The sequence below is a fragment of the Homo sapiens genome, chromosome 8 (genome assembly GCF_000001405.40).
Source record: "Homo sapiens chromosome 8, GRCh38.p14 Primary Assembly".
In the NCBI taxonomy this organism is placed as follows: Eukaryota; Metazoa; Chordata; class Mammalia; order Primates; family Hominidae; genus Homo; species Homo sapiens.
This window is the reverse complement of record NC_000008.11, coordinates 58,428,193-58,451,712: the sequence shown is the minus strand read 5'-3', so window position 1 is coordinate 58,451,712 and position 23,520 is coordinate 58,428,193. Positions and strand designations below refer to the sequence as shown.

At 37.5% G+C, this 23,520-nt stretch overlaps 1 protein-coding gene across 4 annotated transcripts in view, besides 2 other annotated features; it reads right to left on the bottom strand.

The window, feature by feature from the left end:
- Positions 1–211: 211 nt before the first annotated feature.
- Positions 212–23,520, bottom strand: part of UBXN2B (UBX domain protein 2B) — a 40,141-nt gene continuing 16,832 nt past the window's right edge. The window contains exons 3-9 of one of the 4 annotated variants that reach the window (NR_156456.1): positions 21,044–21,194; positions 18,470–18,553; positions 17,209–17,318; positions 16,765–16,855; positions 11,943–12,080; positions 5,645–5,806; positions 212–4,324 (exon numbers count right to left, since the gene is read on the bottom strand). Coding sequence is in view for 3 of the 4 variants with exons in the window: in NM_001077619.2 (NP_001071087.1) it covers positions 4,162–4,324; positions 5,645–5,806; positions 11,943–12,080; positions 17,209–17,318; positions 18,470–18,553; positions 21,044–21,194 (808 nt within the window). In the remaining variant the exon portion in view is untranslated. Of the gene's footprint in view, positions 4,325–5,644; positions 5,807–11,942; positions 12,081–16,609; positions 16,856–17,208; positions 17,319–18,469; positions 18,554–21,043; positions 21,195–23,520 lie in introns of those variants that run through there. The other 3 variants (NM_001077619.2, NM_001363181.1, NM_001330535.2) reach the window with 3 other exon arrangements.
- Positions 12,999–13,499: an enhancer, noted in NCBI's record as "H3K4me1 hESC enhancer chr8:59350773-59351273 (GRCh37/hg19 assembly coordinates)". NCBI's record gives its function as "activates a minimal SCP1, AML or CMV promoter by ChIP-STARR-seq in naive H9 embryonic stem cells {active_cell/tissue: H9 hESC(naive)}" and the evidence as "EXISTENCE:reporter gene assay evidence [ECO:0000049][PMID:30033119]".
- Positions 13,500–14,000: an enhancer, noted in NCBI's record as "H3K4me1 hESC enhancer chr8:59350272-59350772 (GRCh37/hg19 assembly coordinates)". NCBI's record gives its function as "activates a minimal SCP1, AML or CMV promoter by ChIP-STARR-seq in naive H9 embryonic stem cells {active_cell/tissue: H9 hESC(naive)}" and the evidence as "EXISTENCE:reporter gene assay evidence [ECO:0000049][PMID:30033119]".

Sequence of the window (23,520 nt, the reverse complement as noted above, 5' to 3'; positions counted from 1 at the left end):
AAAAAAGAAGCACCTGAACCTTTTTATTTGGGTAGAATAAAAACAGAAACAGTAACAGGATATTCAGATAATATGCTACAACCAGTTCCTTCCCTGTCCCTGACAAAGGTGCGCCAAGGGAAATTAAACCACAGGAAATGTTATTCATGTTAAAACAATCTATTCAGGACTCAAAACTACAAATCAAAGAAAATTTGAAAAACCTTTCCAATAAGTTTCAGTGAAAACATTCTTTATTAGTAAGCAGACATTTCAAACTTTTTGATTACATACATCATGCAAAATGACTGACCTCACAGATGGTTGTCTGTTCATTGTGACATCTTTTTTGAGATGATTATAAATTTAAGATGACTGCAGTAGTAAAAATAATTCATGAAAATGACTCTCAATGAAGCAAAACACTACATAGCACACATGAAATACTGTTCATCCCTCCTGGATGTTTAATTCTCTCCTAATGTAAATCTCTATCTTGGAAGACTATTATATACAAAAATGGCAGTTGTTTTTGTATGTGCATCTATAGGCACTCAACTGATAAAAACAAGAAAATTTCAAATAATTTTACAAGGATTGGTTATTTTTCCTGTTTTGTTAATCCAAAACAGGACAATGCCCTTTGATTTACAATGTTCAATTCTTTTAAGAAATCATTTTCTTCGGAAGATGATTTTGACCCATGAAAAAGTTGTTTTACCCCTGGTAATCTTTTTGAAATGGGGCTGGCTGTTACACATTATCCAAGTTGTTTTCAGTAAGTGAAAAGGAGTAGGGCTTATTTTGAGAATTCCTCTATATTACGGCACTGAGAAAACTTCTCTGCAGTGGTGGGCTCACCACTTTCATCCTGTGGTAGTTCTGGTAGCACTCCCAGTGTGAAAACCCTAGCACAGGTAAATTCACCTCTTTGAAATAAACAGTGACCCTGGAGAAAGGTGAATTCCAAATCTAGTACCATATTCAAGTCATCTGGCAGAGAAGCAGGCATAAAAGAGTTTTCTAGGTACTTGAGGTGCTGCTGTAACAAATACCTAAAAGTAGAAAAGTGGCTCTGGAATTGGGCAGTAGGTGGAGGCTGGAAGAATTCTGAGGAGCATGCCAGAAAAGAAGCTAAACTGCCTTAAACAGACTGTTAGTAGAAATATGGAATGTTAATGCTAGGGCGGCCTTGAAGAAAGGAGCATAATAGAGAATACCTCGATTGCCATAGAATATCTAAATCATCATGAATAGACTGTTGGTAAAAAATGAGGAATATGTTACTGGAGAAGTGGAGGAAAGGAGTCCTTGTTACATAGTGGCGAAAAGCTAAGCTGAGTTGTGTCCTGCCGTTATGTGTAAAGCAGAACTTTTAAGTGATGACTTCAATATTTAGCTGAGGATATTTCCAAGCAAGCTGTGGAAGGTACAGCCTGCTGTCTTCTTGCTGATTATAGTAAAATGTGGAAAGAGGTAGATTGAGGGAAGACCTGTTAAATATAAAGAAACCAGGACTTGATGATTTGGGAAATTCGCGGCCTATTCAAATGGCAAAAGCCACTAAAACTAAGATTCACCGTCAGGACAGCCTTTACTCTAGAGAAAGTGATGAAGATATGGCTGTATAACCTTTTGCTAATACTTCAGAAACATCAAAAGGTCTGAATATCAGGTCACACACAAGACTCTTTGAAGATATTAAGGGTGTGAATCATAGATCCTCTCAGCTATTTCAGAAAAAGCCAAAAACAGAGACAGGATTTTCCAGGAAAGATACGTGAGGAGCCTCCTATCTAAATGAGTGCATCCCTGTGACATATGTAAAAGACCCACAAGTTTCTTGACAACGTTATAGCAGCAGAAGCACCACCATTTTTAACAGAAAGCTTTAGAGAATATAAAAGAAGAACAAACTGATAAGTTGATACTCAGCTGCAAACGTGTGCTACCTTTTGTGAAAAAGTAAAGATGACTCTGAGACAGTCAACAAGCCCAGAGAACAGCAGTGAGCTGAAGATTACTCCCAGGCCTTGAAACTTAAAGAAGGGTGCCTCGCTGGTTTTGTAAATTGATTGGTGCTGATGGCTCCTTTTTCCATCTGTTTCTGCTTTTTGAACAGGAACGTGTGTAACTATTATTGTCTGCCTGTCATGCCATCATACTTGGGAACAGATAACTTGTTTTCTAGGTTCACAAGTGCACAGTTGGAATTATGTCCCAGAAATCACACACAGATCCTCTCCCAAACTTAATTTAGATGGCTTCAATGTGAGATTTGAGACTTTTGAGTTGGTGAGACTCAGATAAGATTTTGGATTTAGAGTTGATGCTGTAATAATGGATTGTGACTTTTGAGCACCTATGAGTGATGTAAATTTATTTGTGATGAATCTGAATCTTTAACACAGGAGTGGAGCGGGGGGTGGGTGGGAACTGTAGTAGGCAAGAATAATGTTCCATGTAAAATGTTAATGTCCTAATCTCCAAACCTGTATGTAACCTTAGATGGTAAAAGAGATTTTGCAGATGTAATTAAGGTTACTATGGATTTCAAGACAAGGAGATAAGCCTAGATTGGATATCCGGTGGGCCTCATTTAATCATGAGTCCTGCAGAGAACCTCTCCACACTGGTGTCAGAGAGATGTGGTAACAGAAGGGTCATAGAGATGAAACAGCACTGGTTTTTAAGATGGAAGAAGGAGGTCACAAGCCAAGGAATGAGGATGTCCTGTAGAAGGTGGAATGACAAGGAAATGATTCTCCTGTAGAGCCTCCTAACAGAATGCAACCCTGCCAACAAATTGATCTTGGCACCGCGAAACTCTTAACCTGGACTCCTAACCTACAGAATTGTGAAGATAATAAATTTGTGCTATTTTAAGCCACATTTTGTAACTTGTTATGGTGGCAATGGAAAACTAACCAGAAGTAATAATTAAGGATGAAATGGTGTCTAGGAAGAAGGAAAAGCTTCTGGCTTCAGCAGAAATGCAAACATTTATGCTGGTAATTCTTTAGATCTAGTCCGTCTGACAGAATTTACATTCCTGTATTTCTACACTAGTCTTGTTCTGGAGAAGACATTCTAGGTTGAGCACACAGAATAGTGTTTAGTGTATACAGTGAGTTTCCTAGAAAAATGTGTTGAATGAATAAATGAATGTGATCAACGCAAGCTCTGGGAGGAACTGTAATTACTTGATTTTAAAATATTGTTGCTGTTTACCATATCTTCTTAAGAACTGCTGACCTTTAGGCTGGGCGTGGTGGCTCATGCCTGTAATCCCAGCACTTTGGGAGGCTGAGGTGGGTGGATCACCTGAGGTTCGGAGTTCGAGACCAGCCTGATCAACACAGAGAAACGCTGTCTCTAGCAAAAGTACAAAAATTAGCCAGGCATGGTGGCGCATGCCTGTAATCCCAGCTACTTGGGAGGCTAAGGCAGGAGAATCTTTTGAACCTGGGAGGCGGAGGTTGCGGTGAGCAGAAATTATGCCATTGCACTCCAGCCTGGGCAACAAGAGCAAAACTCCATATCAAAAAAAAAAAAAAAAAGAATTGCTGACCTTTATGTGTTTCTGTTTAAGTTCACAACAGTCATAATTCTGTAAAATACAAGGCAAAACTGTAGTTTCTGATACTAGTAATATATCTAAATCAGTAAGTAAAAAGGATGTGTAAAATCTTAATAGGAGAAATAATTATTGTATGATCAAACAATTTCAAAATCAAAAGACACGTTTCAGTATATATTATAGACAAATTTTCAACTTATTTGATCAAAAGATTTCTTAATGGCTGTTGGTCAATGCTGCATCAAGAAACTTTAGTGCAAATTTTACCAAATGCATTTATCAAAAAGGGGTTTTGTTCATTTTTCTCTGCAAACAAATGTTGTTACATTAACACTAAGCATGTAACAACTCATTTGCCTAGAAATCCAAAAACTATCAACATAAGCCAGTCCTTCAACTAAAAACTCAAACATACTTATCTCAAGGTCTATTCCTAATCCAAATTTGTCTATATTCAGATTGGAAGACAGAATAACAATAAAACCAAAATTTATCTGTAAAAATAATAAAAATAATTTGGCTGTTTTTAATGCTGAAGTATTGTCCTTATTAATACGGCACATCATCTATTCCCACATGCTACTGCATGGACAGGAACAATATTATTTTAGTTGCTGGAGTAACACAGTGTTAAGAATATCTGCTTCTAGCAGTGTCAGGCTTTCATCTGTTAGCTCTTTATTCGGAAATGAAGTCACAAGAATAAAGTCAAGAGCCGCAAATTCAGGACGAGACTGTACAATAAAGTTCCGGACATCCAGGATCCTGAAGAAATAAGACAAAAATAATTTGTAATATAAAAAATCATATTTTCATGTAAACTTAAAACTGAATCATAATAAAAATCACAAAATTTTAATCTTTATATAAAGGTGTTGTAACTTTCTTTAATATATAGTATTTCAATTGAAGGATTTATCTTAGGCTTCAGTTAAAATGTAAAGTAACTTTAGTGTGTACTTAACATTTACTTTTCCTGTAAAATGGAAACAATCTTCAGGTAAGTTATGAATAAAGTAAGTGTACTAATGTTGTTATTTTAAAAGTGCAGGTCCAGCTGGGCACGGTGGCTTACGCCTGTAATTCCAGCACTTTGGGAGGCAGAGGTGGGCAGATCACTTGAGGCCAGGAGTTCAAGATTAGCCTGGCTAACACGGTGAAAACCCCGTCTCTACTAAAACCAGAAAAAATTAGCTGGGCATGGTGGTGGCTGTCTGTAATCCCAGCTACTCAAGAGGCTGAGCATGAGAATTGCTTGAATCTGGAAGGCGGAGTTTGTAGTGGGCTGAGATTCCGCCACTGCACTCCAGCCTGGGAGACAGAGTAAGACTCTGTCTCAAAAAAAAAAAAAAAAAAAAAAAAAAAAAAAAAAAATGCAGGTTGTACTTTTTTCGGAGTATAAAATGTGTTAGCAGCATATGACCCAGAAAAAGGTAACTATGATTGGCCTGTGGCAAGGTGAGTCTAAAACTATGAAATGTGCTATCATAGGAATAATTTTAAAAAATTACTCTCACATAAACATAGTAATTCAACCAAAATCATAAATATATCTATTAGGGTCTTACTTCAATGGACAAATCAAATGTTGATGTACAAGTCAATATTAAAGAAACATTTAAAACTATCTGAAGTTCTTGACAAAAGTACAATTAAACTTGATTTACAATACACATTTATATTATGAAGTATTTGCTATACAGAAAATTAATCCCAATCAAAATTATCACAAATTTTTAAATGAATAAAGTCCCCAAAAGGTTTTACTATGTTAAATTAAATCTGATTCGACTTCATATAGTTTTAGTAACAACGTAAAACTATAGTTCTTAATTTATTTTTGTGTGATATCTGAGATCACATTAGTATTTGGATAGTTTATAGAGACTGTTTAAATACCACATATTTCATTTCTTAAACACAGCTATTGTCCTTTTAAAAATGTTTCTTCTGTCAAAAACTTACTTCAAAAGTAAACCTAAAGAATATCATATTCTTCATTACTCAAGTCACATACAGTTCTACTTAGATAAGCAATCCAGTGTATATAACAGCAAACAGGACACTGTTGGTAAAGAAGCTTACCTGTGTGTACTATTGAATCTTTGTATCAAACGACTCCCATCTGCTAACCTGATTTGAATTTTTGTTGTTGGCACTGAATCATCAATAAGAACAACTGCATTAAGTATTGATTTATCCTCCTCTTCTGGAGAGGAAGGTGTACTGACTATTTCAGGTGTAAGGCTAAAAAAGAGGAATTAAACACAAATCTGAATGTGTAAAATATATGACAAACTGAAGACAGCGATAAACACTTAGAACATGGCTTCATTTGAGTCTCCTATACTTCTTTCAACCTCTTTCATTATATTAAAGTTATTTTGGATCCTACGATTCTTATTTGGTTTATCTAATCTCTCATAAAAGCCTAACTTTGCATCCTTTCCTCATTTAACTGTTTGCAACTTCATCACTGTTTAGCAAACCAGTTTTATTTAGAAATACGAGCAACTCTGAGTTAGGGTCAAAGAATCATTAAGAGCACAGACAGACATGGTTTCACATCCCAGCCATGTCAACTGTGTAAAGTTGAGTAAGTACATCAATCATTTTGAATCCCAGTTCTATCATTTATAAAGTGAGGGAATAATACTATGTTATGAAGGTATATTATACCAGTAAGTCCTTAATATTGTGCCTAGAACACAGTGTTTCAACGGGTGCCAGCTATTGTGAACATATTATCAGCACTAAATTCATTTAATTTGGACTTGGTTAATATCATTTAAACACATCTGATTCAAGCACTGCTTTGCAAAAGAGAAATAACTTCTAAGTACCATTGAGGAATAAAATGTTATTACATGACAATAAATTCATAATGAAGCTTGATAGAATATCTTACCATTAGAACTTGGTTACTAGTGACCCTGGCATTGCTGTCTTAGCCCCTTCTAACACTAGCAGGATGATCAGCCAGTATATGCCAAAAGTGAATGTCAAAAATAGAGGAGTGCTCTTTTGGTTAAATAATTCAAATAAATTTAGCTCAATTTTCTCAGTCATCTTAAGGAATTTTTGATAGTCTTGAAGTTTTTTCTCTTGAACTCTGAGATTTAGATGGTTTCCTATAGATTATTTTCTTCTGGAAGAAAGACACGCATGTATCTACATATTACTAGTATAAAAGTTCTATGAGCATTTGGGCTTTAGTCCAATCTAAATCATCATGACTCTTACTTCCATTCAAAAAGCTTCTCTCTCAGAGTACACAGTAAAGTGATAAAATTACCTGGTACTAACTGCTGACACTTTCTCTTTCTTTAGCTATTTCCTGATGCTAATTTTAGAACTGATTTGAGGATACATAAAAATATACATAAGGTTAAAATTATGACTTACAATAAATGATCAGATATTAAGGAATTTCTTTTTAATTTGGAATTGAGGGCCTAAGTAATTGCACTGCCAATCTGGTTTACTGTGCCAAGAGTCCAGCGTTCCTTACACAAGGGAGGGGGATGAAAATCCAAGAGAAAAGACATGAGACACTGAATGCAAAGGTCCTCTTTACCTCCGCCTCACTGATAACCAGGTATACACATTATCATCGTCACTACCACCATTACCACCTCTGCCACATGCATTATTTCATTTACATCAGCCTGGGAAGCAGTGTTAACAGCATGGTTCTCAGAGCTGGATTACCTGGTTTCAATCCCAACTCTGCACTTATTCTGTAACACCAGGCAAGTCACTTACCCTTATTGTGCCTGAGAGCCAACAGCAGCAGTGCTGTAAAGATTAAATTAATTAGGACACATAAGCACTTCAAATGGTGCTTTTATATAGTTGGCACTACTAAAAGTTGGCTATTAGCATTATAATTATCCTAACAACAACTCTGGAAAAAAAAAGTTACCCCCAATATTCCTATTGGTAAGTGAGAGAGCTGAGGTTTATATTGGGCTCTTTCTACACACCAAGTTGCCTCCCTATTATTTTTGTAATCTACTGCTTTCTGTTTTAAGGCAGATTCTGACCAGGTATGCTTTTTCTCAAAACAGAAAATGGAGGATGGGGAAGCTAGGTAAGAAAATGTGTGTATGTCACAATGAAACTATTGTATATGGAATAATAACATTTGAGAACTGGAATGGATGGACTTCCAACATAATTTAGGCCAACCATATCATTTTATCTAAAAGAAACCGAGTCACAGAGAGACTAAAAGACATGCTCAGAACCACACAGACAGATAGCTGGACAAGCTGGTAGTGTGGTATTAAAAAACCAGCCTAAAAAGTTATGTTAATTAATTTATTTTATTTATTTATTTTTCTGGGATGCAGTGTTGCTCTGTTGCCCAGGCTGGAGTGCAGTGGTGTGATCTCAGCTCACTGCAACCTCTGCCTCCTGAGTTCAAGTGATTCTCCTGCCTCAGCCTCCCAAGTAGCTGGGATTACAGGTGCCTGTCACCACATGCGGCTAATTTTTTTTTTTTTTTTTTTTGGATTTTTAGTAGAGATGGGGTTTCGCCATGTTGGCCAGGCTGGTCTTGAATTCCTAATCTCAAGTCATCTGCCTGCCTCGGCCTCCCAAAGTGCTGGGATTACAGGTGTGAGCCACTGTGCCCATGCAAGTTATGTTAATTCTAATATTTAGCTGTCAAAATCACATCTGTTTGCTATTTAAAACTTTCTCCCTATCATTCAATTGATCAAGCCATAGTAAAACTTTTACATTAAAAAGAAAATTTTTTAAGAAAGAAAAGAGAAATTAATTGGTACAACAAGGTTTGTAGGCAAATGGCAGGAAAGGATGTAGGTTGTAATTCCCTCAGAGACAGGAGAAACACCCTCTTCTTCAAACTTATGGAGGGAGAGGAGGATGGAAATGACCAGCTTGAAGGCTGGAGGGAAACATAATAAGAATGTGAATTCCCGTCAGGTTCTATTTTCTCAATGAAGCTGGAAGCAAAGAAATTTGCTGAGAGTGAGGGGCAGGGGTCGAGGAGGGGGTTTAGGAAAGCAGCTCAGGCCTGTGAGACTGGCGAGGCACAGCACTGCCTGCTCAGCACAGCTGAGGCTGTCCCCAGAAGTACTGAGTCACACAGGGCTGACAACCCAGTCAGGCTTCAGTCAGCTCACAGCTGTTGAGGAGCTGAGATAAAGTAAGGCTTTGAAGTTTTAGAGAAGACAGCCCTCAGGGTCTAGGGCCCCAGATGAAGTCAAATCTCAGGTAAGTGAGAGTGGCAAGCACAATCTTTTGAAGAGAACAGTAGGACAAACAGGCAGTGACTGTTCTTCTGCAGAAACATCAGCTTCAAATCATGATTTTTATCATTATACACGCCAGCTCAAAAGCCTACCAAGAATGCCTACTCGCTAGTCCTCCCTATTAAAAATGACTCTGTGATTTTGTTAGGCACTACTCTAGCTCACCAAGCTAATTTTTACTCAATAATACAGTTTGTTCTACCATTGCAAATTTGCAGTTTTATATCTATGGTTTGCTTTCTTCTATTATGTGAGGGTACTATGTAACATTTTTACAGCATTTTGGTTTGCACCATAATTGTATATCACATGAAAAGATTTAGTTCCCATCTATGTAACATTCTGTGTGTAATTAGACTGCCATCTATGGAAGACAATAGATTATTTTCATTTCTGTTTTACTTGCTTCTTTTTATTTCCTGCTCAGTAAATAATTGTCTTGAACTCTTGAGAACCAAGCCATTTTAGAAAGTTACTTTCTAAATGAAGGTTAACTATTAAACTTTTAATATATTTCTTAATGTAAATCTTTAATATAAAATGTTCTATGTAATTCTTCACTTTAGAATATATGATATTTGCTTATTCAACATTTGGGTTTGTGAACACATAGGCTCACATCATCATGCTATCTCCTTCTACTAGAAGCTGAAAATTCTAAAGACTCCATCTCCCAGACTCTCTTGCAGCTAGGATTTCATGATTCTACCCTTCCACCAAACAAACATACACTTGTTTGGTGGAAGTAAGCACTGCAAAGTGGAAACTCTGTAGCTCTTGTGGTTACTAAGGTGGTGGAGGCATTTATTTCTTCGATGATGGAATGTTCTAGTATCTAGTCCCTAGTTTCATGGGCACCAAGCACCTGACTAGGGGACATAGTTGTTTTCTCTGGAACACTCTTCCACTGTGTTTGTTTCTCCTGGCTAAGGAAAGCTTGGTTTGCTTGCCTCTTCCAGATATTCTATAAACTACACAAGATCCTGTAAGAAACCTATTACTACCAGCAAGTAGATTCTGTTTTCCATAATCAAAATCTTGATCAATATGGCTAGTAAATTAACATGGCATTATTACCACTGATCTCTGTCACTTTCTTCCATCAGTTTCTCCTTTCTTTTCTGTTATTTTCTCTATTTGCCTTATAAGGAAAATGACTGGCCTTTGTGAATACTATCATCAGATAATATCGTTATTTTCATGAGTTTAATAATCACTGGCTCTTCTTAGCTGCCTTCCCTTTATGCTACCTTCTTCAATTCCAAGTCTAGATTTACTGTAGGTCTACTAACAAGGATGTGCGGTCCAACATTAATTCTTGGTCATACATTTAAATAATAGAGAAGGAATATGTATATATTGAAGAGATGACTAGGCATTTTATCTGCATTCTAATTAAAAATCGTAATCTCAATAAATATTAAGTAAAAATGGGAAGTGATACAAAATTAAGAACATACATACATACTATATATACACATACATACATATATATACACATACATATATATATATATATATATGTTGATCACAACAAGAGGAGTAAAAACATAATATTATACAATTTGAGAGAAGCCTGGCCAGGCATAGTGGCTCATGCCTGTAACCCAGGCACTTTGGCAGGCCAAGGCAGAAGAACAGCTTGAGGCCAGGAATTCAAGACCAGCCTGGGCAACATAGTAAGACACGTGTCTCTACAAAACCTAAAAATGAAAAAAAATGAGCTGCGCTCGGCAGTGCCTATAGTCCCAGTCAGGAGAGTGGGGTAGGAAGCTTGCCTGAGCCCAGGAGGTCAAGGCTGCAGTGAACTATGACTACACCACTGTACTCCAGTCTGGGCAACAGAGCAAGACCCCATCTCAAAAAAAAAAAAAGAGAAAGAAAGAGAAGCCTGACGTGTAAAGAGAGACGAGGGAGAAAATTTCCAAGTAAACCTGTGACCTAAAATTAAAGAGTTTGTGTCCTAAGAAAAACAGGTCAACATAAATTCCTGTATTTCCTTTATGTCCCCAGTGCCAGTCTCTATCAGGAGAAGAGAATACAGAAAGGGAGACTAGAGATAGCAAAGCATAAAGAAGCAATATTGAATTTTTTCCTATCTTGAAAAATAAGGGGAGAATAGACAACCAGTGTACACGAGGCAACTGAAGGGGGCTTGGAAGGGAAGGAATCACATGAAGAGAAGCAAAGGATGCACCAAAGAATACACTGGAAACATTGCCAATGTGGCAATTCCATATCACCTGCAACAATATGTGGACGAGTAGAGGGTAACTTTTACCAACATATTTTAAATTTCTAAGATTACATTAAGCCATGGGTATTATAAAGGAAACCACTCATACATTCTGCCATGTGCGTTGGTTTTTAAATTGTGCTCTTCAAAGTCCTAAGGTTCTTTGGAAATGTCTCAGATACAATGCCTTCTTTCACCGACAATCAGAGGAGCTCAGGTTTTACATATTGCACTTCCATGACTTGAAAAAAGGGTTTGGCTGTTTAAAAACTATTGAAAATCACAAAGCTAAGCACATTGCTCCTGCTGCAAGAGTTTGGTCATTACTGATGGCAGACATGCATGCTTAAGTTGTGATGTAAGGTATCCATTATTTTATCTCATCGACAACCCTTTACAATTCTCTCCTTTGAAACCAGGTAATCTGAAAGAGGCATATAATATAGTGGTGAAAAGCACAAACTCTGTAGTCAGAGTGCCTGGGTTTGAATCCCACATGCTAGTCATTTCTTAGCTCAACAATCTTGGGCAAATTACTGCATCTGCAAAATGAAGTAATAACAGTATCTACATCAAAGAGCTGTTGTAAAGATTAAGTGAGATAACACATGTATACGGCTTAGAGGGCCACAAACATGGTAACTGCAATCTAAGTATTAATTACAGTATTATTAATATCACAATTAATATTATGATATAATGGTATCACATGATATAATATTATGATATAATATTAACAGATGTATATATCTAATGTGCATGGTTCATATTTTTGTTTTTTACTTCATAGGTCATTTTGCTTTTCTTATTCTCAAAGAAAAATTCATGTTCAACAAAGGTATTTTTCTCATTTTAGGATTTTTACCTTCCAAGTTTTTGCCCTTCTCCACTAAAAGCCTTGAACCTCAATCTAGGTTTTATGTATTCTTGATCCTGATGATCCTCCATATCCAAATTCACTTGGCCACCATGAACAAGGCGCTGAAGCTCCAGGGGAATCTCTCTTTTAAAAAGGGGGGAAAAAAGTTATCATTAAGTTTTCCAAGAATTAAACTACACTGTTGAGATTACTGTAATTATTTCATGAGCTACACTGGAAAACAGAATTTTTTGCTTAAATTATAACACAAAAATTTCCATAATGACTGATCAGTCCTTGTAGATCTTTTTTAAAGTCACTTCACATTACTCCTTACTGGTTCTCAACATAGGGATGCTTTGGTTGTCACAATTATCTTGGAGAGCTTCTGGTATTTAGAAAGTTAAATTTTAAGACAGCAATTTATATGTAAATCAGCACTAGAAAATTCCTATGAGGATAAAAAGGTAATGTGGATATTTATTAATAAACTCCTCGGAGAAAGTTCTGAAAATTGATATGGGTGTTTTTGCTTGTTGGGTGTACTAGTCCATTTGCATTGCTATAAGGAAATATCCGAGGCTGGGTAATTTATAAAGCAAAGAGGTTTACTTTGGCTCATGGTTCTGCAGGCTGTAAAAGCAACAAGGCACCAGAATCTGCTTCTGGTGAGACCTCGGGAAACTTACAATCACAGTGGAAGGCAAAAGGGGACCCAGCATATCACATGGCAAGAGCAGAAGCAAGAGGGAGATGGGAGGTTCCAGGCTATTAAACAACCAGCTCTTGAGTGAACTACCGGGGTGAGAACTCATTACCATGGGGATGGCACCAAGTCATTCATGAGGGATCTGCCTCCATGATCCAAAACCTCCCACCAGCCCCACCTCAGTAATGGAGGTCACACTTCAACATGAGATTTGGAGGGGACAAAACATCCAAACCATATCATTCCACCACTGGCCCCCCAAATCTCATGTCCTTCTCACATCACAAAATACAATCATCCCTTCTCAATAGTCCCCCAAAGTTTTAACTCGTTCCAGCATTAACTCAAAAGTCCAAAATCTCATCTGAGATTCAAGCCATCTTCTTTCTACCTATAATCCTGTAAGATAAAAAATTAACTATTTACTTCTAAGATAGAATGGTGGTATAGGCATTGGGTAAACATTCCCATTCCAAAAGAGAGATCTGCCAAAAGAAAGAGGCAACAGGCCCCACAGAAGTCTGAAACCCGGCAGGGCAGACATTAAATCTTAAAGCTCCAAAATAATCCTTGATGCCACGTCCCATATACAGGGCATATTGGTGCAAGAGGTGGGCTTCCAAGGCTTTGGGCAGCTCTGGCCCTGTGGCTTCTCTCATGGGTTGGAGGTGAGGACCTGTGGCTTTTCCAGGCTCAGGTTGCTGGTGGCGCCACCATTCCTGGGTCTGGAGGTGGCACCTCCCTTCCAACAGCTCCACTAGGCAGTGCACCAGTGGGGACTCTGTCTGGGGGCTCCAACCTCACATTTCCCTTTGGCGTGGCCCTCTAAAATCTAGGTGCAGCCTCCCATGCCTCTTTCACTTGTGCATTCTGTGTGCCTGTAGGCTTAACACCATGCGAAAGCCACCAAGGCTTACAGTAGTGGCTTGTGCCCTTCAGAGCGAGTGGAGGCCCAAGCTATACCTGGGGCTTTTTGAGCTGCGGCTGGAGATGCAGCAGCTGGGATGCTGGGAACAGTGTCCAGAGGCTGCACAGGGCAGCTGGGCCCCAAGTTTGGCCTCCAAAACTACACTTTTCTCCTAGGACTCTGGGCCTGTGATGGGGGTTGGGGGGGGGGCTGCCTTAAAGGTCTCTGAAATGCCTTCAAGGCTTTCTTCCCATCATCTTGATTAGTAGCACTAGGCTAGGCTCTCTTCTATTCATGCAAATCTCTCTATCAAGTGGTTGCTCCACAGCCTGCTTGTATTCTTCTCCTGAAAACACTTTCTCCTTCTCTACTACATAGCCAGGATGAGAATTTTCCAAACTTCAACGGGCTCTGCTTCTCTTTTAAATATGAGTTCCAACTTTAAATCATTTATTTGCTCCTATGTCTGACCACAGGTTGTTAGAAGTTGCCACAAAGCCTCTTGAATGTTCTGCTGCTTAGAAATTTCTTCCACCAGGGCCAGGCATGGTGGCTTACGCCTGTAATCCCAGCACTTTGGGAGGCCAAGGCAGGTGGATCATAAGGTCAGGGGTTCAAGATCAGCCTGGCCAAGATGGTGAAACCCATCTCTACTAAATACAAAAATTAGCCAGGCGTGGTGGTGAGCACCTGTAATTCCACCTACTTGGGAGGCTGAGGCAGGAGAATTGCTTGAACCTGGGAGGTGGAGGTTGCAGTGAGCCTAGATCGCGCCACTGCACTCCAGCCTGGGTGACAGAGCATGAATCGTCTCCAAAAAAAAAAAAAAAAAAAAAAAAAAAGAAATTTCTTCCACCAGGTACCCTAGATCATCACTCTTTAGTTCAACCTTCCACAAAGCCTTAGGGTATGGACACAACGCAGACAAGTCCTTTGCTAGGGTGTAACAAGGCTGACCTTTACTCCAGTTCCCAATAACTTCCTCATTTCTATCTGAGAACTCATCAGCCTGGACTTCACTGTCCATATTTCTATCAATACTTTGGTCACAACCACTTGAGAAGTCTCTAAGAAGTACCAAATTTTCCTTTGTCTTCCTATCTTCTTCAAGGACGTCCAAAGTCTTCCAACCACTGCCTATTACCCAGTTCCAAAGATGCTTCCACATCTTCATGTATCTTTAGAGCAATGCCCTACTCCTTGGTACCAATTTTCTGTATTAGTCTGTTTGTACTGCTATAAAGGAATACTTGAGGCTGGGTAATTTATAAAGCAAAAAGGTTTATTTTGGCTCATGGTTCTGCAGGCTGTACAAGTAGCATGGTACCAGATTCTCCTTCTGGTGAAGCCGCAGGGAACTTACAATCATGGTAGAAGGCAAAGGGGGACCTGGTGTATGACACAGCAAGAGTGGAAGCAAGAGAGAAGGGGAGGTTCCAGGCTCTTTTAAACAATCAGCTTTCACTTGAACTGCCAGAAGAAGAACTCATTCATTACCATGGGGATGGCACCAAGCCATTTGTGAGGGATCCACCCCATGATCCAAACACCTCCCACAGGCCCACCCCCAACAGTGGAGGTCACATTTCAACATGAGATTTGAGGAGGACAAAACATCTAAACCATCTAAACATCATGGTGTGATCTGTGAGCACTGCTGTCATTCAGTGTCGAGGTAGGGGATGTCAGATGCACTGCAACAGGAGATTTGTCTTACGTGATAAAGACTCATCTTGGGTTCCAAAGAATCATCATGTGCCCTCCAGGGAGTCACGTGGATAATACTGTCTGATCCTAAAACCTAACTCTGTCTCATATACAAGCAAAACACATTTTTTAGGCTATTGTATTAATATACTTTGAAATCTCCAGGAAGTAAAGTCCACTTTACGACCATGTAAAGTGAGGGAAGATTGTACTTTGTTTTGTTTGGACCTTTACCAAGTCCTTGAATGCAATGCTACTTGTAGTAATTAAGCTGACAACCTCATATACTTCATTTTTCTGTTTTTATACCTGTCACATTTACATAGGAAGTGCTAGACTGCACAGAGGTACAAACTAACTACTTCTTAGGTGTGCTGTGTGGTCATACCAGGGCATTTATAAACTAAAACATGTATCATTTTATAATAAATTACTTTATTTCTTCAATATATTTAAGGTAGAACATATATTAATTTCTTTTGGAGAATCATGTACATAGATTATATTATCTATGAGTTCTTCTTTGAGGATAGTGTAGATGGTTTTACAAAATATTTCTTATAAAAAGGAGACAATGGGTCTTACATAGCTGAGAACCACTACCTGACATTACTCATTTTCTTTAGAGTCTTTTCTAAAACTCTTATTGATCATAATTTGTACATTATTGCAGATATGGTGTGGCTCAAATTTTAAAATTCTTTTAATATACCACATTTGTTTAAACATTAGCCTACAAAGTTTGTGGTTTATTTTCATTTAACAATAAATTAGTTTTTATCTATATAACAGAACATTCATTCTCAATATGTTCTTTGTTTCCACTATCTTGAAATTAGTATCAATTTCTACAGTTATGTTGGTTTTCGCTTAGCCAATCAAAACTTCCCCCACCTAGTTGCTCGCAGCTCTTCCCAGTGATTCTGCAGGTTTCCAAGTCCACAGGATTGACTTAAACCATTATATCCTGTATTTGCCACCCCCATATACTGCCTCCTAGGACAGCTTCCCACCTTTCCCAATGCCTTCAGCATACTTCTTAGGGCATTTGTTGCCTTTGTTTGGTATCCTGACAGTATCTGTATATAATTTAAATTCAAAATTCATGCTAATTAGTCTTCTAAAAGACGAATTTAACCTCCACTCCATGTCAGCCACTCATCCTGGACATATTTCAACATTTGGAAATGTTCCACCTTCTATTCCTTTATGGAGTATAACCCTGTATATATAACTCTGGTTATATACAGTAAAACTCTGATCCTTTCCTACAACTTAATTCCCCAGTTTATGCTCAACTTTATGTCTTTAGTTGCATATCTACTTAGAAATAACTCCACTTTCAGCTAGTTTAATCATAACACAGAAAAGCTTTTATTATCATAGCAAAATCACTTGATTCCTCATCCTTTAGCAAGAAGAGCTGGTAAGTTACAATGTTCTTTGGATGGGTGAGAGCACTGAATATCTGAGTTTACTTTCACAAATTATAACTTCAAACTAACCTTTTGAAATCTTCTGCCAGCAGTAATGCCACATTAAAAGATTTCTAACATAAGTTGCTGAATTTCAGGCATACATGCAATGAGAGTCACCCTGTCAACAGTAAGCAGGACAGTGGCTTAGTGGGTGGGCAGCTACATACTAATTAATTCACTGATTATCACATTAAGATGTTTCTTCTTGGAGCTGGGTTCATAGTTTCATCAGATTTTAAAATGGGCCAATGTCCAATGCCCCTGGCCCACAAAATTAAGAACCAGTGACTTACATACAGATAGCAGTATATCCTTTATAAACTTAAGAATACCTACACCCCCAGCAACCATTTATTTAATATATTCCAGGAACTACTTCTTGAAAACCCGTAGTGCACTAATAATGAGTAGTCTGTTAAGAAAATAAGTCCCACTCTACATAACAAATAGAATACAAATAATACATCTTACCCTCTCTTAACAGACTCCAGAAATTGAGCATTTGTTGGTTCATTGTAAGGTCTCAATTCTCCATCATCTAAACTGAAACCATTGCTCCACAGTTTAAGCAAAATCTGAACCTTTTGGGTATAGAAAAAAAAAAAATATATATATATATATATATATTCACATATACATAAGAATATATCTCCCCCAAATAATTTTAAGTTCCAAATGTGATATCCTAAAACGTATTTACTTAATTTAAAATAGGGAGTTATTTCTACTATTCTTTATTCATAGTGAAAGACATTAATGAAACCACATGTGTTTGTTTAGCTAGTTTGCATTCAGCTTAACAAACTGACAATGGCTGCAAATACCAAAGGTCCTGCAGGTGGACCCTGGCCTCGAAGTACAATTATTGGTGGATGGTTCACAAGAAAATGAAAGCAATGAGAAGAGCTGTACTCCATGATTCCCACTTCCTTCATTTTCCTTCATCTGCACCCATACTCTTCTTTGCTACAGAGCTTAAATATTCATCCTAAGGGGAACAGAATTTCCAGTGACCTTCCAAGAAACTATCAATGTCTAAAATAAAATTAAAACTCCAAAATTTCAAAAGGCAACAGAAACAAAGAATGACTTTAGGTGTTCTTCATTTACACCTCACCTCATTTTAGATTATGAAAATATACCATTTATAATAATAACTATATATTTGTTCATTTTTCTTTTTTTAATTGATTTTTTTATCTTAAAGATCCAGGGTCTTACTATGTTGCCCAGGGTGGTCTCGAACTCCTGGGCTCAAACAATCTGCCCACCTCAGTCTCCCAAAGTGCTAGGATTATAGGCGTGAGCCACTGTGCCTGGCCCAAGTTCATTTTTTTAAACACCTTTTTTTTTTTTTTTTTTTTAAAGAGATAGGGTCTGGCTATGTTTTCCGGGCTGGCCTTGAACTTCTGGGCTCAAGTGATCCTCCTACCTCAGCCTCTGGAGTAGTTGGGACTCCAGATGCATGTCACCACGCCTGGCTGCAAATTCATTTGGAAAATGAATCACACATTCTTTCAACAAATAGTTCCATATCTCTAAGTGCAAGGCATAATTGTGATACAAAACATAAAGATCGAGACTGAAAACTCACACATCATTGGTCCTTTTAACCCATGTTTTAAAAAGTAACAAAAATATATTTGTATTATCAATTCTTAATTTTAAAACCAACAGTTTTAGTAACTAGAAGCAAATATTTATACTTTTTCATTTTGATTATTGTACCTACATCTTGCAGCTGATTTTCTCCATAGATATATTCAGACCGCTTACAAAAAGAACTACCCAATCTGTATCCTCCACCTGTAAATGACTAAAATACATAGCAAGTGAGTTAAAATTCACAAAGGATTATTCAGCAAAAAGTTATTATGTGATATGTATTTTAAAACTAGATTAATTCTAATTAGCCAAAGTGGCTCATACTGGGGAGCCTTCAAGAACCAAAATTACCATAAGACTTGACTAAAAGATCATTTCAAACCATTGACGAATAATGAAATGAAAACCAAAATTTAAGTTTCATTACAGCAGTGGTTCTCAACAATGGATGTCAAAATTATCATAGAGGCTTTTTTAAAAAGACACGTTTCTAGGCATATCCCAAATTTATTGAACCATAATACCTGAAGCCATCAGGTAGTTTAGATAACCTCCCCAAATGATTCTGATGGAGAAATTCCAGGTTGAGAAATGCTACTTGTAAGAATGTATGAAATGATACCACAAAAGACACGTAACTGTTCGTCTTTAGTATATCAATATTGTGTCAGTTGGTAACAATTATAAAAGCTGTATAGAGGTGGCTCATGCTCGTAATCCCAGCACTTTGGGAGGCCGAGGCAGGCGGATCACGAGGTCAGGAGATCGAGACCACCCTGGCTAACATGGTGAAACCCCGTCTCTACTAAAAATACAAAAAATTAGCTGGGTGTGGTGGCGGGTGCCTGTAGTCCCAGCTACTCTGGAGGCTGAGGCAGGAGAATGGTGTGAACCCGGGAGGCGGAGCTTGCAGTCAGCCCAGATGGTGCCACTGCACTCCAGCCTGGGCAACAGAGCGAGACCCTGTCTCAAAAAAAAAAAAAAAAAAAAAAAAAGAAATTTAGAAAGGTACAAAAGCAATTCAATGGAGAAAGGAGTGCCTTTCAAGAAGTGATGCTGGAGCAACTGGACATCCATAAGCAAAACAATAAACTCTGGTGTCAACCTCACACCTTATATAAAAAATTCAAATAGATCATAGCTTTAAATGTAAAGCTGTAACATTTTTCCAGATAACAAAGGAGAAAATATTTGGGACCTACAGTTAAGTAAAAAGTTCTTAGACAATACAGCAAAAGCATGATCCATAAAAGAAAAAAAAGGAATAAATTGGACTTTATCCAAGTTTATAGCTTTTCCTTAGTGAAAAATCCTGCTGAGGATAAAAATATGAATGACATTCTGAGAGAAAATATTTACAAACCATGTATCTGACAAAGGACCCATACCTATTAAAATATACAAAGAATTCTCAAAACTCAACAGTAACAAAATAATCCAATTAGAGAATGGGAAAGTAATGAAGAGATATTTCCTTGAAAAGAATAATACAGATAATGGCAAGGAAGCACATGAAACGATGTTCATCACTAGCTATTAAGAAAATGCAAATTAACATCATTAGTTATTAGACAAATAAAATAAAACCATGGCATGTTATCACTATACACCCATCAAAATGGCTAAAATTAAAAATAGTGACAATACCAAGTGCTGAAAAGGATGCAGAGAAACTTGCTCTCTCATATATGTGGGAATATAAAATGGCACAACCACTCTGGAAAATAGTTTGGCTGTTTCTTAAACTAAACATACACTTAATGTATGATCTACCAATTGCACTTCTGAGCATTTATCTCAGAGAAATAAAACCATAAGTGAGTAAAAAAACCTGTACCCAATTGCTCACAGCAGCTTTATTTGTAATAGTCAAAAGCTGGCAACTAAAATATCCCTCAATAAATGAATGGTTAAACTGTGGTATATCTATATAAAATGCTACTCGGGAATTAAAAAGGAACAAAGTTGTGATACAAGCAATAACTCTGACAGATCTGAAGGGCATTATGCCAAGTGAAAAAAGCTATTCCAAAAGGTCACATATTGTATGACTCCATTTGTATAACACTGTAGTTTCACCATGTTGGCCAGGCTGGTCTTGAACTGTGATCTGCCTGCTTCGGCCTCCCAAAGTGCTAGGATTACAGGCATGAGCCACCACACCCGGCTGGTTTAACACTCTTAACATGATAAAATTATAGAGATGAAAACCCGACTGGTATTGGCTAGAGGTTAGGGATGGCATGAGAGACGGGGTGGGTGTGAGTGCAAATGGTAGGCTATGAAGGAGAGTTTCAGTTGGGTGATTACACATGTGATAAAAGGACATAGACAGAGAGAAATGCCAAATTCCTGGCTTTCATATTATACTACAATCATGTGAAACGTAACCATTGGGGGGAACCATTGGGGGAAACCATTGAAGTGAAAGGTACATGAAACCTCCCTGTATTCTTTTTGCAAATGCCTGTGACTCTACTAATTATTTTGTAATTAAAAGGTAAATTAAAAAGTTGTTCAGAAATGTAAGAAATTGTCTCAACTTTCAATCATTAATAGAAATATTATAATTTTATAAAAATGAAACAAATATTTAAAACAGAAATATACAATTAGAAAAACAATGTTTGCAAATAATAGAAAAATGAAAGAGGAGGTAAAATATAGAAACAATGTATTTAGTTTAAAATTGAGCACTGACCTTAGATTTATCATCACCTGAAGCTCTTGTGGCTTCATTCAGAGGGACAGCCCCATGTTCCCTTGCCTCTTTGAAAAGTTCATTCACAATTTTCCCAGTTGAAGGTCGAACTATATTTAATCCACTGTATTCATGTTCACTTGAGTAAAACCTTTAAACATTTTAGTTCATGAATAAAAACTTAGGATAACAGACATAAACTGAAGTAAAAAGCTACATAGTCTTATGAAAATAAAAGTATTTTATTTAAAAAGAGGCATTATTTTGACTTCTATGAGAATATTTAATTTTTAAAATGGGATTAAGGAAAAGTATAATAAATAGGAAATCATATACTTTCTCACTGAGTTTGCAAAGATTGATTCTAAGGGCAAGTTCAGCCTCCAGCACGGCAACTGGCTTGCTTGCTGATCCCTCAGCCTTCTGTAACTGCTTATCACATACATCTCATTCACTAATTCAGCACTTCTGATGTAGAAGGAAAAGCAGTGTCAACAGTCAAAAGATAGTCCCTTCTCCCTAAGAAGGCCACACTCAGTAGAGACCTAGTTAGTGACGAGATCTTTAGATTTAGACAGTATAAACAGCTAATTCTAAACTAAAGGGTTATCTAGAGAGGATTTATCTTTCAGAGATTTTTGGATTTAAGAGACCTACTCCCTTAAAAGCCCCTGCGTTTGTTAAAAGTAAATAATTTAGACAGTAATTTTTTGGCGACCAATTTCTACTTTGACTCCAACTTCATAAATGGTCCTAGGAAACATAAAAATTACCTTTACGTAAGATTAATAACCTACTTTTATCTTTCAAGATTTTTTTCTATCAAGAATATCAGAAACTATAAACAATGAAGTATCAACATGGAGACTTCCAGGGTAAGATGACAATCAAACTTCAGTTGTTAAAATACTTATAACTCTCCAATCCAATTCCAAATTCACACTGAACTGACACATAGAACAAAACAATGGGGGGAAATGATATCTGCCTTGGAGACTAGGAATGGAATTCACCTTCAAGGCTTTCTCCTAAATTAGAATATGCAAAACTGAGTAAGATAGAGGAAAGAACAGACCAGCTCTCACTTTGCAGTAAAGGAAGGAAAAGATCCATCAGGATGGAGAACAAGGAGACACCAGGAGAACCCTACTAAACCCCACAAACTGCAGAAGGTGGAGGTGGGGCTTCATCCTGCCAGTGCTCTGGAGAAGTACACTGGGCCCAAATTTATCTAGAGCAGGAGCCTATGGAAGCCCTTGTCCCAAGCTTACACTCAAGGGTCCAGAGTAGCAAGCAAGGTTGAACACTGCCCTAGTTGGCTTTTAAGACAAGCCTTAGTGTTAGAAGCAGATTATTTTAGGGAGCGACGACAAACACAGAAAAGCAAAGCAACACTTCCTGCTGCAGCTGTCTGCTGCCGTAACACTCCTCCCCTCTCTGGAGTGCCCTGGAAACGAGGAATGGAAGTCACCTTCAAGGCTTTCCACATCTCTAATCTGGCAAAGTGAATAATCATTCCTTTTTATCTCAGTCTTAGTGAGAAAGACCTTACCGCAAAAATCGGTCATAGCAAATGATTTCCTATCTCCTTTACGGTTAACGGTTTTTATTATTTGAAATCTTTGCCTACTCTAAGGTCATAAAGATATTCTATTTTCTTCCAGAAATTTGTTTTAATTTCTATATTTAGATCCACAACCCATATGGAACTGACGTTTATAGGTGGTATAAGGTAGAGGACAAGAACTATTTTTTCTCTACATAAATGTCCATTTGTCCCAGTACCACCTAATGAAATTCTGCCCCTCACTGCTCTGCACTGTCATAAATCAAGTTGCCTATGATTCTTGAGTTCTCGTATTTTGGTCCATGGTCTACTGTCAGTTCTTACTCTCTTAACCATTGCAGCTTTACAATAAGTCTTTGCATGCAGCAGTGTAAGTCCTCAACTTTAATTCTTCATGAATGTTTGGGGCAAAAATATTTATTGATTGCTGAAGTAATTCTCTATACTCATTCAAACTAACTTATTAAATATAAGTGAAAAGGAATAAAAGATAGGCATCTGTAGTACAGAATTAGTACTCAGCTGGGCCTTAAAAGGATTTAGGACATTAGGACTTAGATAAGCACAGAGGACAAGGGACAAAATTCTAGGAATGAAGAGGAACACAGGAGGAAAACATCAAAATGACCAGAGGAATCAGAAAAAGAATCAGTCTTTTACAGTTTTCTTTGTATGCAATTATGTCATTACACATAATGAGCTTTATTTATTTCCAATTTGTATACTTTTGTTTTTCTAATCTCATTGTGCTGACTAAAACCTCCAGTACAAGTTGAATGAAAATTGTGATAGGGGTTACCCACTGATAATGTTCCCAACTTCAGAAGAGTTGAGCGGTTTCAATCTTTTTAGATCCTAATGATGATTACCCAAACCTTAAACATATTATCTGCGACTGGTACCCATCTTT